Below are 17,440 nucleotides of genomic sequence, written 5' to 3' on the forward strand. Positions count from 1 at the left end.
TCATAATTGTCAACAAACAACTCAAATGTCCTTGAATGGACAAACCGTTTGGCACACAACCAATGGAATACAACTCACCCATAGAAAGAAACAAGCTACTGACATCCACGTGGATGGACATCAGATGTAGTATTTTAGTGAAAGAAGCCTATCTGGAAAGGCTACATACTGCATCACCATCTATGTTATGTCCTGGAATAGGCAAAGCTTCAGGGACAGAAATGAGATCAGTGGCTACCAAGGAATGGGCATGGTGAACAAGAAAGGAGCCTGCAGAGGGGCACGGGACATTAGTATTGTTATTTATTATTATTCGAGACAAGGTCTCACTCCAATGCCAAGGCTAAAGTACAGTGGCTCAATCACAGCTCACTTCAGCCTCTTCCTCCTGGGCTCAAGGGATCCTCCCCGCTCAGCCTCCAGAGTACCTGAGACTACAGGCACCCACCAACACACCCAACTAATTTTTGTATTTTTTGTAGAGATGGGATTTTGCCATGTTGCCCAGGCTGGTCTTCAACTCCTGGGCTGAAGCTGTCCGCCCACCTAGACCTCCCAAAATGAGCCACAGCACCCGGCCACAGGGCATTATTTTATGGTGGTAGAGCTGTCCTGTATCTTGATGAGTTGTACAACTATATGAGCTTGTGAAAATTCACAGAAATATTTACTTTCAGGGACATTTTATTTAGTGAACTTTATTTCATGAAATTGTATTTAGGGTAAATCTTATTGTTTGTAAATTACACCTGAATTTGTCCGACTTGTAAAAAACTAAACAAAAAGCTAGGCATCTTCTTTTTATTTCAAGCATTTATTTGGTGATTTGTTGTTTGCAGAAGTTTATAGATTTATTTTTTATTTAAATAACAGAATCTTGCAAGTGAAAGGAAACAGGTCATCTTATGTCAATTCCTACTTTTTTTCTTTTTAAAAAATATTTTAACTTTTATTTTAGGTTCAGGAATACATGTGTAGGTTTGTTATATAGGTAAACTCATGACTTGGGCATTTGGTTTACAGATTATTTCGTCACCCAGGTACTAAGCACAGTACCTGATAGTTTTTTGTTTGCTTGTTTGTTTTTTGAACCTCTCCCTCCTCCCACCCTCCACCCTCAATTAGGTCCCAGGGTCTGTTGTTCCCCTCTATGTTTCCATGTGTTCTCATTATTTAGCTCCCACTTATAAGTGAGAGCATGCAGTATTTGTTCTTCTGTTCCTGTGTTAGTATGCTAAAGATAATTGGCCTCCAGTTCCATCCATGTTCCTGCAAAGGACATGATCTCATTCCTTCTTATGGCTGCATAGTATTCCATAGTGTATATGTACCACATTTTCCTTATCCAGTCTACTGTTTCTTTATTTGTTTGTTTGAGACAGGGTCCTGCCCTGTCACCCAGGCTGGAGTGCAGTGGCACGATCTTGGCTCACTGCAACCTCCACCTCCCGAGTTCAAGCGATTCTCCAGCCTCAGCCCCCGAGTAGCTGGGACTACAGGCATGCGCCACCACACCCAACTAATTTTTGTATTTTTAGTAGAGATGGGTTTTCACCATGTTGGCCAGGCTGGTCTTGAACTCCTAACCTCAGATGATCCACCTGCGTTGGCCTCCCAAAGTGCTGGGATTACAGGAACTGTAATCCCAGTGTGAGCCACCATGCCCAGCCTATCTAGTCTACTGTTGATGGACATTTAAGTTGATTCCATGTCTTTGCTATTGTGAATAGTGCTGCAATGAACACAACGCATGCATGTGTCTTTATAGTAGAACAATTTTTATTCTTTGGGTATATATCCAGTAATGGGAGGATTGCTGGGCTGAATGTTAGTTCTGTTTTTAGTTCCTTGTGGAGTTGCCACACTGCTTTCCACAATGCTTGAACTAATTTACACTCTCACCAGCAGCATATAAGTGTTTGCTATTTCTCTGCAACCTCACCAGCATCTATTATTTTTCACTTTTTAATAATACCCATTCTGACTGGTGTGAGATTGTAGCTCATTGTGGTTTTGATTTCCATTTAGTAACACTGAACATTTTTTCATGTGCTTTTTGACCACATGTGTGTTTTCTTTTGAAAAGTGTTCATGTCCTTTCCCCACTTTTTAATGAGGTTGTTTGTTCTTCATTTGTATGTTTAAGTTCCTTGTAGATTCTGGATATTAGACTCTTGTCAGATGTAAAGTTTGCAAATATTTTCTCCCATTCTGTCAGCTGCCTGTTTACTCTGTTGATAGTTCCTTCTGCTGCTCAAAAGCTCTTTAGTTTAATGAGGCCTCATTTGTCAATTTTGGCTTCTGTTGCAGTTGATTTTGCTGTTTTCATCATGAAATTTTTGCTGGTTCCTATATCCTAAATGGTATTTCCTAGCTTATCCTCCAAGGTTTTTATAGTTTTAGGTTTTACTTTTAGTTCTTTAATCCATCTTGAGTTGATTTTTTTTATATGGTGTAAGGAAGGGGTCCAGTTTCACTCTTCTGCATATGGCTAGCCAGCTCTCAGCACCATTTATTGAATAGGCAGTTATTTCCCCTTTGCTTGTTCTTGTCAGCTTTGTCAAAGATCAGATGGCTGCAGGTGTGTGGCCTTATTTCTGGGCTCTCTATTCTGTTCTTTTGGTCTGTGTCTGTTTTTGTACCAGTACTGTGCTCTTTTGGTTACTGTAGCCTTGTAGTACAGTTTGAAGTTGGGCAATGTGATAACTCCAGCCTTGCTCCTTTTGCTTAGGATTGTCTTGGCTAATTCGGGCTCTTTTCTTTTTGTTCCATATGAACCTTAGAATAGTTTTCCTAATTCTGTGAAGAATGTCATTGGTAGTTTGATAGGAATAACATCGAATCTGTAAATTGCTTTGGGCAGTATGGCCATTTTAATGATATTGATTCTTCCTATCCATGAGCATGGAATATTTTCCATTTGTTTGTGTCATCTCTGATGTCTTTGAGCAGTGTTTCGTAATTCTCATTGTAGGGATCTTTCACCCCTTGGTTAGCTGTATTCCTAGGTGTTTTATTCTTTTTGTGGCAATTGTGAATGGCACTGCACTTCTGATTTGGCCCTCAGCTTAGGGGTGCTGTTAATGTATAGGGATGCTACTGATTTTTGTACATTGATTTTGTATCCCAAAACTTAGTTGAAATTGCTTATCATCTCAAGGAGCTTTTGGGCAGAGACTATGGGTTATTCTCAATATAGAATCATGTCATCTGCATACAGGATTACTTTGACTTCCTCTCCTCCTATTTGGATACCTTTTCTTTCTTTCTCTTGCCTGATTGCTCTGACCAGGACCTCTAACACTGTGTTGAATAGGAGTGGTAAGAGAGGGCCTCCTTCCTTGTCTTGTGCCAGTTTTCAAGGGGACTGCTTCCAGCTTTTAACCATTCAGTATGATATTGGCTGTGGGTTTGTCATAGAAGTCTCATTATTTTAAAGTATGTTCCTTCAATACTTAGTTTATTGAGAGTTTTAGCACGAAAGGGTGTTGAATTTTATTGAAAGCCTTTTCTACATCTATTGAGATAATCATGTGCTTTTTGTCTTTAGTTCTGTTTATGTAATGAATCATATTTATTGATGTGCATATGTTAAAGCAACCTTGAATTGCAGGGATAAAGCCTACTTCTTCATGGTGGATTAGCTTTTTGATTTTCTGCTGGAGTCGATTTGCTAGTATTTTGTTGAAGATTTTTGCATCTGTGTTCATCAAGGATATAGAACTGAAGTTTTCTTTTTTGTTGTGTCTCTGCCAGGTTTGAGTGTCAGGATAATGCTGCCTGTTTGAATGAGCTGGGAATGAGTCCCTCTTTCTCTTTTTTTTTTTTTTGAGTAGCTTTAGTATTTTCCTGCATGTTTTTCAAATAAGGAAAGTAACAGCCAGAGAAAGAAATGACAATGAACAGTCAGCTTTGGCAATCTGACTATGTAAATTAGCTACCACAGAAGCTAGGATTAACATTAGGGTTTTTTTGGTGATATAACAAATAGAGTCCAGAAAACTGCCACCATATGTTTACTTGAACCCAGAAATTTGGCAGCAAATTTTTGGAACAGAATTTGTAGTCTTGAAATTCTGCTTTGTTTAACTCTAGGCCATAAAATCTTTAATGGAAATGTTTGCTTTAAAAAGTGGCTTATTATGCATACATGATCGATTTTTATAATTTACTAATGTTGGTTTAAGTTTATAAACTATATTATAAATGCCTGGCTGGATCCCATGAGAAAATCCCAAACAGCAGTTGTCAACCTCTTTAGACTCTGAGCCCTTTCTTCAAACAAAATCTCCCAGTGCATCACACGTATAAAAGAGCTCAGAAGGCCAGGCACGGTGGCTCACACCTGTAATCCCAACATTTTGGGAAGCTGAGGTGGGCAGATCACCTGAGGTCAGGAGTTCAGGACCAGCCTGGCCAACATGACGAAACCCCATCTCTACTCAAAATACAAAAATTAGCCAGGCGAGGTGGCACACTCCTGTAATCCCAGCTACTCTGGAGGCTGAGGTGGGAGAAACACTTGAGCCCAGGAGGTGGAGGTTGCAGTGAGCCAAGATTTCACTACTGCACTCCAGCCTGGGAGACAGAGCGAGATTCCATAAAGAAAAAAAAAAAAAAAGCTCAGAAAAGCTCATCTACCCAGTATGGGAGGTAGCTGCACCTAGCAGTGTGTGGGGCTTCCACATGCACACTGCTAATGCCACCACTCCCAAATGTCAGTTCGAATCGTAGTTTATGGATTGAACCACAAGGCATAATCACATATTTAATTTGGTTCTTGTTAATGGAGCTTTCAACTGATGATGTCTTTGAAAGTAGAAGTCTATTGCCTAGCAGGTAATATTCAGTTCAGGGTAACATATCTCTATCCTAGAAATTCACCTGTCACAACGTAAAATGTCCCTTATTGCTTTGTTTCATCCTTTGGATTGTCCTGCTTTCCTTTTTTAAATAATGCTTTCTATTTGGGGAAGAGCGGGAAGATCAAAGCTCAACTGGTTGAATTCAGATGCTTTTAAGACAGTGGGAGGCTGAAGTGAGCGGATCATGAGGTCAGGAGATCAAGACCATCCTGGCTAACACGGTGAAACCCTGTCTCTATTAAAAATACAAAAAATTAGCCAGGCGTGGTGGCAGGCACCTGTAGTCCCAGCTACTCGGGAGGCTGAGGCAGGAGAATGGTGTGAACCCAGGAGGCGGAGCTTGCAGTGAGCTGAGATCACGTCACTGCACTCCAGCCTGGGCGACAGTACAAGACTCCATCTCAAAAAAAAGACAGTCAGAAGGGGAGGACAGTTAGGCAATCAGATATATGGGTATGAAGCTCAGAACAGACTATTTAAAATAAAATACAGATAAAAATGGATTCTTCCATGTGGATGGCTGCTATCAAACAGAAAATACCAAGTGTTAGGGAGGATGCAGAGAAATTGGAATTCTTGTGCACTGTTAGAATATAAAATTGAATAACTACCATGGTAAACAGTATGGCAGTTCTCAAAAAATTAACAATAGAATTTGCATATGATCGATCAATTCTGCTTTTGGCTCTATACCGAAAGAATTGAAAACAGGGCATCAAAGAGATATTCGCACACCCATGTTCATAGCAGCAGCATTTACAATGCCCAAAATGTGGAAGCAACCCAAGTATCAATCAATGGGATGAGTGGATGAGCAAAATATGGTTTGTACACACAGTAGAATATTATTCAGCCTTAAAAAAACAGAAATGTCATGATATGCTATAACGTGAAAGATCCTAGAGGACATTATGCTAAGTGAAATAAGTCAGCCACAAAAAGATAAATATGATATGATTCCACTTACATAAGGTACTTAGAATAATCAAATTCATAGAGACAGAAACGCTATAAGATTTGACCTTATAGCCATATACATATATTTCAAATTGTACCCCAAAATGTGTACAATTACAATGTCTCAATTACATATTAAAACTTTAAAACAAGAAAGTAGAACGGTGGTTGCCAGGTGGTTGGGTGGAGGGGAGAATGGGGAGTTAGTTGTTTAATGGGTATAGTGTTTAATTGTGCAAGATGAAAGCAGTTCTAGAGATGATTGGTGGTGATGGTCACACAACATCACAAAGGTACTTAATAGCACAGATCTGTACTCTTAAAAGTGGTTAAGATGGTAAAATGTATGTAACATATTTTACCATGATTTTTAAAATTTGGAAAAAAATGGATAAGCCTCCAAACTGAAATAGTAATGGAAGCCAATTCATAGCATGAACGCAGGAAAGGGCCTAAGACTGAACTTGAGGGAGCCGGTAGTCAAGGGCTGGGTAGGGAGGACGAGCCTGTTAGGAGATGAAGAATGTGGTTCTGCAGGTGGGAGGAAACTAAACAAGCACAGCATCATGGAAACCAAAGGAGGACAGTGTTTCAAGGAGGAAGGGGTCCAGTGCCAAATGCCCCTGAGAATGCAAAGGGCATGAATTGGGAAATGCCCACAAGTTTTAACAGCACAGCGGTCATTGGTGACCTCCAGAATCATGTCTTCCATCCAATCTGGTAATCTTTCATGACTGTAAACTCCTTGAGAGCAGGCACCTTGAACAGACCTCTATATCCTCCTGTTTTGCTTTTCACTTAAGAAGTGTTCAATAAATATTTACTACAGAGTGAACTCAGATGATGGTATTTATGGTATTTTGGGGCAGGTGATGGAACTATACTGTATTCTGATTGTGTTGATGATTAGACAAATCTATATATGTGTTAAAACTCATAGACCTGTACACCTCAAAACAATTAATTTTATTGTACCTTAATTTAATTTTTTTTAAAAAAATGGATTCTTTTTCTTACATGGTGATGGGCTCTTGAGTATTATAAAATGACTCTTGAAATTTTATATATGTTTTCTAAAGAGCTCTTTGTATTTATACAAGATTTAATGACATTGAATATTCAATTAAAGATGCAAAGTTTTAAATACACTAGGAGAAATGCAGAAAAGGTGGTAGGCAATATATGGAAATACATGTGTGATTTAAGTCAATATTAAGAGGAATGAAAAAGCAAGCAATAAAAATATACGCATTGTCTCTTTTTTTTTTTTAACAGGCAGGAATGGGCCACTTGTGTGTAACAAAAGATGGACTGCGCTTGGAAGGGGAATCAGAATTTTTATTCCCATTGTATGCCAAAGAAATACACTCCAGAGTGGTAAGAAAATGTTAAGACAAATAATTTGTGCTTTATGAAAAATAAATCATGTTTAAGCACAAAAATTCAGTACAGTTTAGAGAAGATTTTTAAAGCGCATACATGTGCACATATTCATGATATGCTCTTTATAAAAAGCTTGACTATTGCAGAATTTATCTCTGATATTACCTTCTAAAAATATTTCAATTTAATATGCTTCAGATCTGAATTTGGTGGCCTCAGTAGTTTAGACCATAATAAACTAAAGGTTTTAGAAATGAAAATTTTTACCAAGAACAATTTAAACTTCTTTATGTTAGATCAACTAACTTAAATATATTTATTTTAGGGTATTCAAAATTATCTAAGAAGCTTAGAAAGAAATTCGTTTCAGCTGGGCGCGGTGGCTCACGCCTGTAATCCCAGCACTTTGGGAGGCTGAGGTGGGCGGATCACCTGAGGTGGGGCCAGCTTGGCCAACATGGATAAACCCCGTCTCTACTAAAAATACAAAATTAGCCAGGCATGGTGGCGTATGCCTGTAATCCCAGCTACTCGGGAGGCTGAGGTAGGAGAATCGCTTGAACCCAGGAAGCAGAGGTTGTGGTGAGCCCAGATAGCGCCACTGCATTCCAGCCTGGGCAACAAGAGCAAAACTCCATCTCAAAAAAAGAAGAAAAAACAAAAAAAAAAAAGAAAGAAATTTGTTTCATTGTATTATGTTCTGCACTTATTATACTAATTACAGATTATGATCCTGTAAGATTCTGAACAAGTAGATTCAGCATTGTTATTAAATACTTATGTGACTTTAAAAGTAAATCAAGGTTTTCTTCATTTACCTCCATGGAGCTTATAAGAAGGACAGCCAAGAATAAAGTGCAAATACGTTCAAACAATGTTGGCAATATGTTCTATTTTTACTTAAGTGATGCTATGAGCATTATAGTAGGCACGAACATTTTGCTAGATTATTGATAAATGGCATTACCTCCCTGACGCACAAAAAGTTAAAACTTCACCCAGCTATAACTTTCTAGTTATGTGAAGAGCAGAGTCTTCATTTTCCTTTCATATTTCTGAATATGAAAGGGTATTTCAGTATCTCCTAACTGCAGAGGCTGTACCAGCCACTATAGGAGAATTAGAAAAGAAACAAAAGACTTACTAAGAAACATGAGGTCTTGTTAGAGACATAAAACACACTCCTGAACCAGACATTCGCCAAGCTCTGTTACCAATTGCAAAATGACATGGCATGTGACTAACACATAAATATCACAAAGAGAGATCCCAGTAAGTGAAAAGTACATAAGTAGTTTTAGGTGCTGTTATGTTACTTCTGGGGCTATCTTATTGGCAGTGGGAGCCAGAAGATGACCTGCAGTATAATAGGCAGGTAAGAGCCTGATTCTGTGAGGCTTACCCTTACCTTATGTCATACACTTACCTTAATTGTGATGGCATTTCAGTGTGAAACAATCCTGTCCTACAGGATTTCCCTTTTGTAAAAGGGGAAGTCAGACATGAATGAAGCATTCAAGTGTTAGAACTTGGTCTTCTTTTTTCCCCAGAGTTGTGTTGGCTGATCTCCTGCCATATTTTGGGAAGAATCAGACTGGTAGAATGGTCCAGTGACTGAAATCAGGTGACTAGGTCACAGCAAATTTAATATTCTGGAATTAATAATAACTCTCAGTTGGCCAGGCGTGGTGGCTCACGCCTGTAATCCCAGCACTTTGGGAGGCCGAGGCGGGCAGATCACAAGGTCAGGAGATCAAGACCATCCTGGCTAACACAGTGAAACCCCGTCTCTACTAAAAATACAAAAAAATCAGCCGGGCGTGGTGGCGGGCGCCTGTAGTCCCAGCTACTTGGGAGGCTGAGGCAGGAGAATGGCGTGAACCTGGAAGGTGGAGCTTGCAGTGAGCCGAGATCATGCCACTGCACTCCAGCCTGGGCCACAGAGTGAGACTCCGTCTCCAAAAATAATAACAATAATAATAATAATAACTCTCAGTTATATTTTATCAGGCTTTTTCATCTCCAGTATGCTTTTAAAAAAAGCAAAATTATAGCGAATATCTTAGATAATCACATATTAAAGTCTTAGAATGTGGCATTAATGAGTATGTCAATCAACACATAAAATTCAGTAACAATTTGAATAATATTATGTGATAACAGAGCTGTACAGTGTTTTATAACTAACATGGTTTCCAATAAGAGCCATCCCAGAACAAAACTATGCTTCCTAACTTCTGTATGGATTGATATATTAGTTATAAATTTCCTTTTCAAAGATGAGTCTAGGAAGCAATTTTCCATAAAATTACAGAAAAGAAATTACTTTATGAATTTGCAAAATTTGACACATAACTCACTTATGTGTACTGATGAGCTGAGAGAATTTCTTCTTTATAAATATAATTCAACATGCTACTCTGGCCTCTAACATCTGATCACCCAGTAACCCCTCAAAAGTAATACATGAGGGCCTGTATTGAATTCATACTTTGAATTCATGGCTTAAACCCATCCACCATGCCCATTAGTTCAAACACATAACAATTATTTCCTTTAAACAAAAAGGGTTTTAAAAAACTACAGAGCCATGATGAAAAACTAAATGAAACAAATACGTGGTAATAAAGCCTTACTTGAAATGATCATCTGTGAAGTTCTCAGCCCTGAAAAGAAGCTTTAGCTTACAGCCAAAGCCCACAGTGTGACAGGGACCAAAAGGGCACCTCACTGGGACTCCAGGCAAGCCCATTGCATAAGACAGTGCTGAAGACAGAAAACAACTACAACTATTTGAATAAAGTTGCTACAACTATTTGAATAAAGCAGCATATAAAAAAGTAGCTACAACTATTTGAATAAAGCAGCATACCTGAGGGGAGGAGGCTACAAAGATGCCAGTCCAGAACCTGAATGTCATGAGGACAGAAGCCCTAAGCCACCACTGAAAGACTGGGAGGCCCTGTGGACCAAGTGAAAACAACAGGACAGACTTTAGACAGACTGGTAAGAGCCAAAAGGTAGACACATCCACACAGTGGAACATAAAACTTGAAATTTCATATGATGAAATCTTCATCTAAAAAAAAAAAAAAGCCCAATAAACTTTACATAAAGGAAGATCAATATCCAACTAAATAAAAAGTCAATCTGAAAATGACTAGAAAAACACACTTAAGATTCTCAAAGAGATAAAGCTATTTTTAAAGGAGTTTTCCTTAAAATAACATGAAATTATAAAATCAGAAGAGAAATTACAGGGCAGAAATAACAGGGAATAGGTTTACCCTCCTGCATTAAACAACTAAAAAATGAAAAAAAAAATATATGAAACAGTGGTTTTCAAATATTGGACAATGGGCAGCTCAGGAGAGTTATCCCTGCAAGAGGAAAAACAAGAGTGACTCCTCAAATTGCCTTAACTCACTGCATGAAGAGAGTTTCCAGGCTGCAATGAGGGAGGGGAGCCAATGCAGACACAGGTGGTCTCCCTGAGTTGAAGAGACAGGGTTGGGAGGCCAAGGAATCCAAGGCAGCTGCAGTTTGCAAGGCGGAGTACTGCAGAGGAGGGGCTTGCTGCACGTGGACAGCGCTCCAGAGATGGCAGAGACTTCACCTCATCCCACCCCCACCAAGTCTATGGATAAATATTTACCAGTGTGTGTGTGTGAGGAAGCTACCTTGAGACTAGTGAAATACCCACTCTAAGGGAGCAGAAGGAACAATGCCTGGAGCTCACACAGGGTGGGGAACAGTTCATATTCCCACCAGTCAGAGTGGAAAACTTCATAAATTATGGGCATCAGGTAGAATACAGAAGGGCATGGCTCAGAAGTGGTACAAGATCAACACTAGGAAAAAAATCCTGCTCTGGTCCATTCTAACAAAGCTTAACAGGAATCCTTGAAAGTGGCATGCTTTTTCCAAGTGATTTGCTCCATCCCAGAACAGAGTTCTAAAAAACTACATTTCATCTGTGCACAAAAGTCGAGGAAAGCATAATCATGTTAAGGAGAGACATAAAATATGGAAAGACAGAAAAAACACAAAAGAATCTTCTAGAGATGAAAAGTATAACAACTGAAATTTTTAAAAAGCCAATGGTGGGACTAACAGATTAATAACAATTTAAAGTATAGCTATAGATACTCTCCAAAATGGAGCACAGAGAAAAATGACTAGAAAAAGAAAGCAACAGCATATCAGTAACTTTCTTTTTCTAGAAAAAGAAAGCAACAGAGTATCAGTAACTAGAGGGACAATGTCAAGGGGCTTTATGTATGTGTAACTGGCATCTCCAAAGAAGAAGAAAGAAGAGAGGACAAATATTATTTAAAAAGAATAAAGTGTACTTTTTTTCCAAGCATGATAAAATCTTTAAGCCTACAGATAAAACATGTTCAATGAACCCCAAACAAAAGAAACAAGGAAAACTACAAGGTACATTGTAATTAAATTGCTTAAAAACAAGAGAGAAAAATCTTAAAGAGAAAGCCTTAGAAGTAGCTAGAGAAAAAGGATATATAACATACAAAGGAGTGAAAAAAATATGACATCAGCCTTCTAGTCAGTAACATTTAAAGCCAGAAGACACTGAAGCACCGACTTTAAAGTACTAAAAGAAAAAAAGGCCAACCTAGAACTCTTTACCTAGCAAAAGTATCTTTAAAAGACAAAGTCAAAATAAAGACTTTTTTGGACTTACTAAAGCTGAAAGCAAGTTACTTCAGCAGACTAGCACCACAAGAAATATTAAAGGAAGCCTTTCTGGCAAAAAGAATATGATGCTAGAAGAAAAATCTAGATGTTCACCAGAAAAAAATTTTAAATACCAGAACTCATAAGTATGTGGTTATACAAAAAATAATTTTAAAAAATGTTAGAAGACACTTTGCTCAAAGCCAAAAGAACAATGTATTTGGGATGTTATAACAGGATAGGCATAAAATGTATGACACTAATGAAACAAAGACCGTAACAGAAAAAGATAGAGGTACTGCTATAATGTTCTCACATCACACGTGAGTGGCAAAAATTATTGAGGATGGACCTTAATAAGTTAAAGATGCTTAGTATATCTAAAGTAAACTCGTAAAACAGAAAGTATAGCTAATACATCAACTAAGGAGATAAAAATGAAATGATAAATAATTAATCCAAAAGGAGGCAAAGGAAACAAAGAGAAAATTAGTTGAATATGAAAACAAATAGCAATTTGGTATATTTGAACCAATTCATAGTCACATTAAAATAATCACATTAAATATAAATGGTCAAAACACCCCAACTGAAAGACAGACTGTGAAACTGAACACAGAAGCAAGGTCCAACTATATGCCATCTAGAAGAAACCTACCTTAATTATAAAAACACAAATAGGTTGAAAGTAAAAGGTTATACCATACTGTACTAACCTATACTATACTAACACTAATTAAAAGAAAATTGGAGTGACTATATTAAAACAGACAAAGTAGATTTCACAGCAAACAGATAAATATTTTAGAGATACAGAGGGTCATTTAAGATGACATAGGAATAAATTCTTCAATATTTATGGTTCTAAACACTCATGAATCCACTATCAGAGCATCAATATACATGAAGCAAAACTGATAGATTGTAAGAAAGGAATAGAAATATTCACATTTAGACTCAGGGATTTCAGCACCCCTCTCTCAATAACTGATAGGAGAAATGGATATAGAAACAGTAAGCATATAGACTTGAACAATGCTATCAACCAACTTGATATAATTAAAATTTTCAGAGCATGCTGCTCAACAACAGCAGACAGAGTTCTTTTCAAGTGCACAGGGAACATTTATCAAGATAGATCATATTTTGAACCATAAAACAATCTGAATAAATTTAAAAACATTCAAGTCTTCCAACATGTTATCTGACCATAGTGGGTTTAATAAGACAACTATAACATAAATATATCTGAAAATTTTTTGAATAACTGGAAATTATATAAAAATTTATAAATAACCATGGGTCAAAGAAGAAATCCAAAGGGAAATTAAACAGTATTTTGAACTGAATGACAATTAAGAAAACAATAACATTAAATTTGGGAGGATGTAGCTGAGGCAGTGCTTAGACGGAAATTTATGGCATTAAATGCCTATATTAAAAAAGAAGAAAATTGGCCGGGTGCGGTGGCTCACGCCTGTAATCCCAGCACTTTGGGAGGCCGAGGCAGGCGGATCACGAGGTCAGGAGATCGAGACCATCCTAACACGGTGAAACCCTGTCTCTACTAAAAATACAAAAAATTAACCGGGCGTGGTGGCGGGTGCCTGTAGTCCCAGCTACTTGGGAGGCTGAGGCAGGAGAATGGCATGAACCCAGGAGTCAGAACTTGCAATGAGCCAAGATCACACCACTGCACTCCAGCCTGGGTGACGGAGCGAGACTCCATCTCAAAAAAAAAAAAAAAGAAGAAGAAGAAAATCGATGACCTCAGTTTCATCCTTAAGAAACTAGAAGAAGAACATGTTAGACCAAAAATCAAAGACAGAAGATCCAAACAAATAAAATCATAAATGAAAAAGGAGACATCATAATGGATACCACAGAAATACAAAACATCATCATTAGAGGCTACCATGAACAAGTATTTGTCAATAAGTTTGAAAGCCTAGGGAAAATGGATAAATATTTGGATACATACAACCTTCCAAGATTGAAACAAGAAGAAACAGGAAATCTAAACAGACCAATAATGAGTAACAACATCGAATTAGTAATAAAAAGTCTCCCCAATAAAGGAAAGTCCAGGACCAGAAGGCTTCACCGCTGAATTCTACCAAACATTTAAAGAAGAATTAATACCAGTCCTTCTCAAACTTTTTCAAAAACTTGAAGCAGAGGAGATTCTTCCTAACTCATTACACAAGACCAGCATAGCCATGATATCAAAACCAAACAAGAACAAAACAAAAAAGAAAACTACAGACCAATATTTCTGATGAACACAAATGTAAAAATCCTCAACAAAATACTAGCAAACCAAATACAACACATTTATCCCAAGAATGCCAGGATGAGTCAACATATGCAAAACAATAAACACCATACATCACATCAATAGAATGAAGGACAAAAACCATTTGGTCATCTCGATAGATGCAGAAAAAGCATTTGATAAAATTCAGCATCTCTTCATGATAAACCAAAAGTCAAAGAAGAAAAGAAAGATGAGAGAAGAAATCAACAAAATAGAAAACATAAAACAATAGAGGAAATTAATGAAACCAAAAATGGATTCTTTTAGAAGATCAATAAAAATTGATAAACCTTGAACCAGACTGAATATTTTAAAAAGAGAGGGCACAAATTATCAATATCAGTGATGGTAGAAGGGACACTGCTATGAATCCCACAGACATTCAAAGAATGGTAAGGAAATATTACAAATAACTTTATGCCAATAAATGTAATTTTTCCACATACTGTTTGACAGAATTCTTGATATAGGATTGCTGCTTCAATGATTAAATTAGTTTCTGCCATTCCCATATTAGGTTCAAGTTGGAAGTAGTTAATTATGTATATAAATGAAGTGGTGAATTGTACTTGCCCTCTAATCTACATTTTCAAAAAGTATCTTAAAACATCAATCTCATAGGGTATTGATAACTCCTATAGCAGTTTTGATCTATCTTTGGGCCATACCAATTACCCCTTACATTATTAATGGTCTTTTTATACACCTCTTTCTTTCACAGCTCCTTCTATATGTCATGCACTGTTGAGAAAAGTAATAAAAAGTTCTACGTTCTATGATTCTTTCACCTACTCCCTAAGGTGTAGTGTTGACACAACAGCTGTATTCAAACAGGTACATTCAGAGTTCAATTGAGATGAATAGAAAAATAAAATGTTCTCCTTATACCTTGCTGTCATTCTCTAAATGGCGTAAAATTTTTCTAAAAGGCATCATTAGCTAATGATAAAAACTGAAAATCCCTTATGTAAAATTTTAGAAATGATATAGTGGTGGTTGTACAATACTGTGAATGTACCTAATGTCAATCTACTATACACTTAAAAATGGTTGAAATGGTAAATTTTGTGCTATCTATAACTTACATACATAGTATATTTATATTTTAATACAATAAAAATAGTTTTAAAAAGTCAAAAAACAAAAACAAAAACCTGGAAATCACATTCACAATCTATAAACTTCAGTTTTCTTACCTAGAAAATGGAAAATAAAGTCTCTGGACTTCACAAAAAACATCAGTTTTTATTAAAAATGTACACGTTGATTGTTTTAAGGTACTTCTTAAAAATATAGATTAAAGAGCAAGTATAATTCAATATAAGAGGTTTCATTATAGCAGTTATGAATACAATTTTGTTGGTAATATAGATACAGAGTCAATTCTGCTCTGTCAATTAAAAGAGCTTTACCGTGTGAACACAGAATACCCAGCTAGCCGTGGCATAAACTAATAGGAGCTTTTAGTCTCACATAACAGGAAGCTGGAGGGGGCAGCTGCAGCTTTGGTTCAGCACTAAACCATGTTAAGGCCAGAGTATCTACCAGCCACCCGCCTGCCCCTCATAATCACTAGACAGTTATGAGGCCACATCCAAGACACACAGCCGGGAAATGTGCAGTGCTGGTGCATGTGCCTTTTTCACAAGGAATGCAAAAGCTTGCCTAGAAACCCTGAGCTCCACCCTCTGCAGATCTCAGCTTATCTCCCATTGACCAGAATTGTGTCCCGTGGGTACCCCTAGCCTCAAGACAGTCTGAGAAAGCAGGCAACCCCTGTCGTGGAAAGCAGAAAAAGAAAAGGGTTTGAAAGTGACTGTTGGATTAGATGACAGGAAGTGAATCCCAGAACAGCTTACTTTCTCTGCGCTTGGGAGTGGATCTCACTGCTCTCACCAGAACCCTGTCCTCCCATTCCAGGAGAATGGTGGAGAGAGCCTGGAAGTGGGCATCTAAAGATTGGCTCCACCACGGAACTGTCATCTGCAGCTGTGTGTGGCTTTGAGGCAGCTATAATTTATTCCCTGGGATCTCAATTTCCTCATCCCTATATTAGCAATAATGGTGCCTACTTTATAAAATACAGGATAAAATGAAAGGATCAATGCTCAATTTAATTGATAAAGTGTTAACTCATTATCATGCTAATTATTTTCTAACATTGCAGAAACAAGTGTTAAGGTGACATCATTGGATACCATAAGAAGCTGATAGGTCCATCTGCTTCCACAAAGCTAGTTGGAGAATTTCTGACATCCTAGATAGAGCTCCCAAGGGCTCTTAAGACTATTTTCCTTTTGAAACATCACATAATTCCCTACCACTCTGGAAGATATTTGGTTTCCTCTGAGTGAACCGTAAACCTACCTGCATCCAACAGCAAAATTAGTGAATTCCTTTTGAAGAAAATTGTGTATATAAAAACAAGCAATCTTCTCTAAAACAACACCACCGTATCAGGATTACATATCATATCAGGATTACGATAACAGAGAAAGTATAAACAAAACCGCCGTATCAGGATCACTGTATCGTATCAGGATTACGATAACAAAGAAAGTATAACACTTTTGTGCTCATAAAGCCACTTTATCTTCAACAAAAAGTGCAAAAAACAGAGCCATCCAAAAATGTTGCTTAATTCATTTGAAATTATGAGAAGCCTTTGTGTTTTTAAAGTAACATGGTATTTCTTATAGAAAAGTTAACTATTTCTCGGATTCATCTTCTTAAAGTATATCATGTCCTGGACATAAATAATCCCTAAAAATAGAATTTTAATTCCTTGAAAAAGCAAAAGCACTGGTTAAAACGTGGTTGTTTTAGATCTTTACCTTGTGAACTGCCTTGACACATTGTAACCAGTGCGCACAAGCACTGTAAACCCATGGGATTCTCACATTTTATGAGAAAAGTTAATACATCTACTTCCTTAACAATATGATTCAGGTGACCATTTGGGGCAGCCTTAGGAGTATGTTGTGGGCTCAGACACCATACAGGGCCTGGATCGTTACGACTTCTCCAAGGCGCTTTGAAATCATCATGGAAGGGCTTTGGCATCTCTAGAACACCAAGAACTGTGATAAAGAGTTGAAAAAAGGAGGAAACATTCCTGAGGCGCCGGAGTGGCGTGAAGGCCCTCCAGCTCTGGGGCCCATCAGCACCCGGAAAAGTACCACTGGAGTGGCACTTAGGTAGGATTCCCCAGCAAACACAG

At 37.7% G+C, this 17,440-nt stretch overlaps 1 protein-coding gene across 5 annotated transcripts in view; it reads left to right on the forward strand.

Moving 5' to 3' along the window:
• Positions 1-17,440, forward strand: part of SGCG (sarcoglycan gamma) — a 164,655-nt gene that overhangs the window by 67,006 nt on the left and 80,209 nt on the right. For all 5 annotated transcript variants that reach the window (NM_001378244.1, XM_047430542.1, NM_001378245.1 and 2 more), the window contains one exon: positions 7,098-7,199. In NM_001378244.1, coding sequence (NP_001365173.1) covers positions 7,098-7,199 — 102 coding nt within the window. The remainder of the gene's footprint in view (positions 1-7,097; positions 7,200-17,440) is intronic.

Source organism: Homo sapiens, chromosome 13 (genome assembly GCF_000001405.40).
Source record: "Homo sapiens chromosome 13, GRCh38.p14 Primary Assembly".
Classification (NCBI taxonomy): Eukaryota; Metazoa; Chordata; class Mammalia; order Primates; family Hominidae; genus Homo; species Homo sapiens.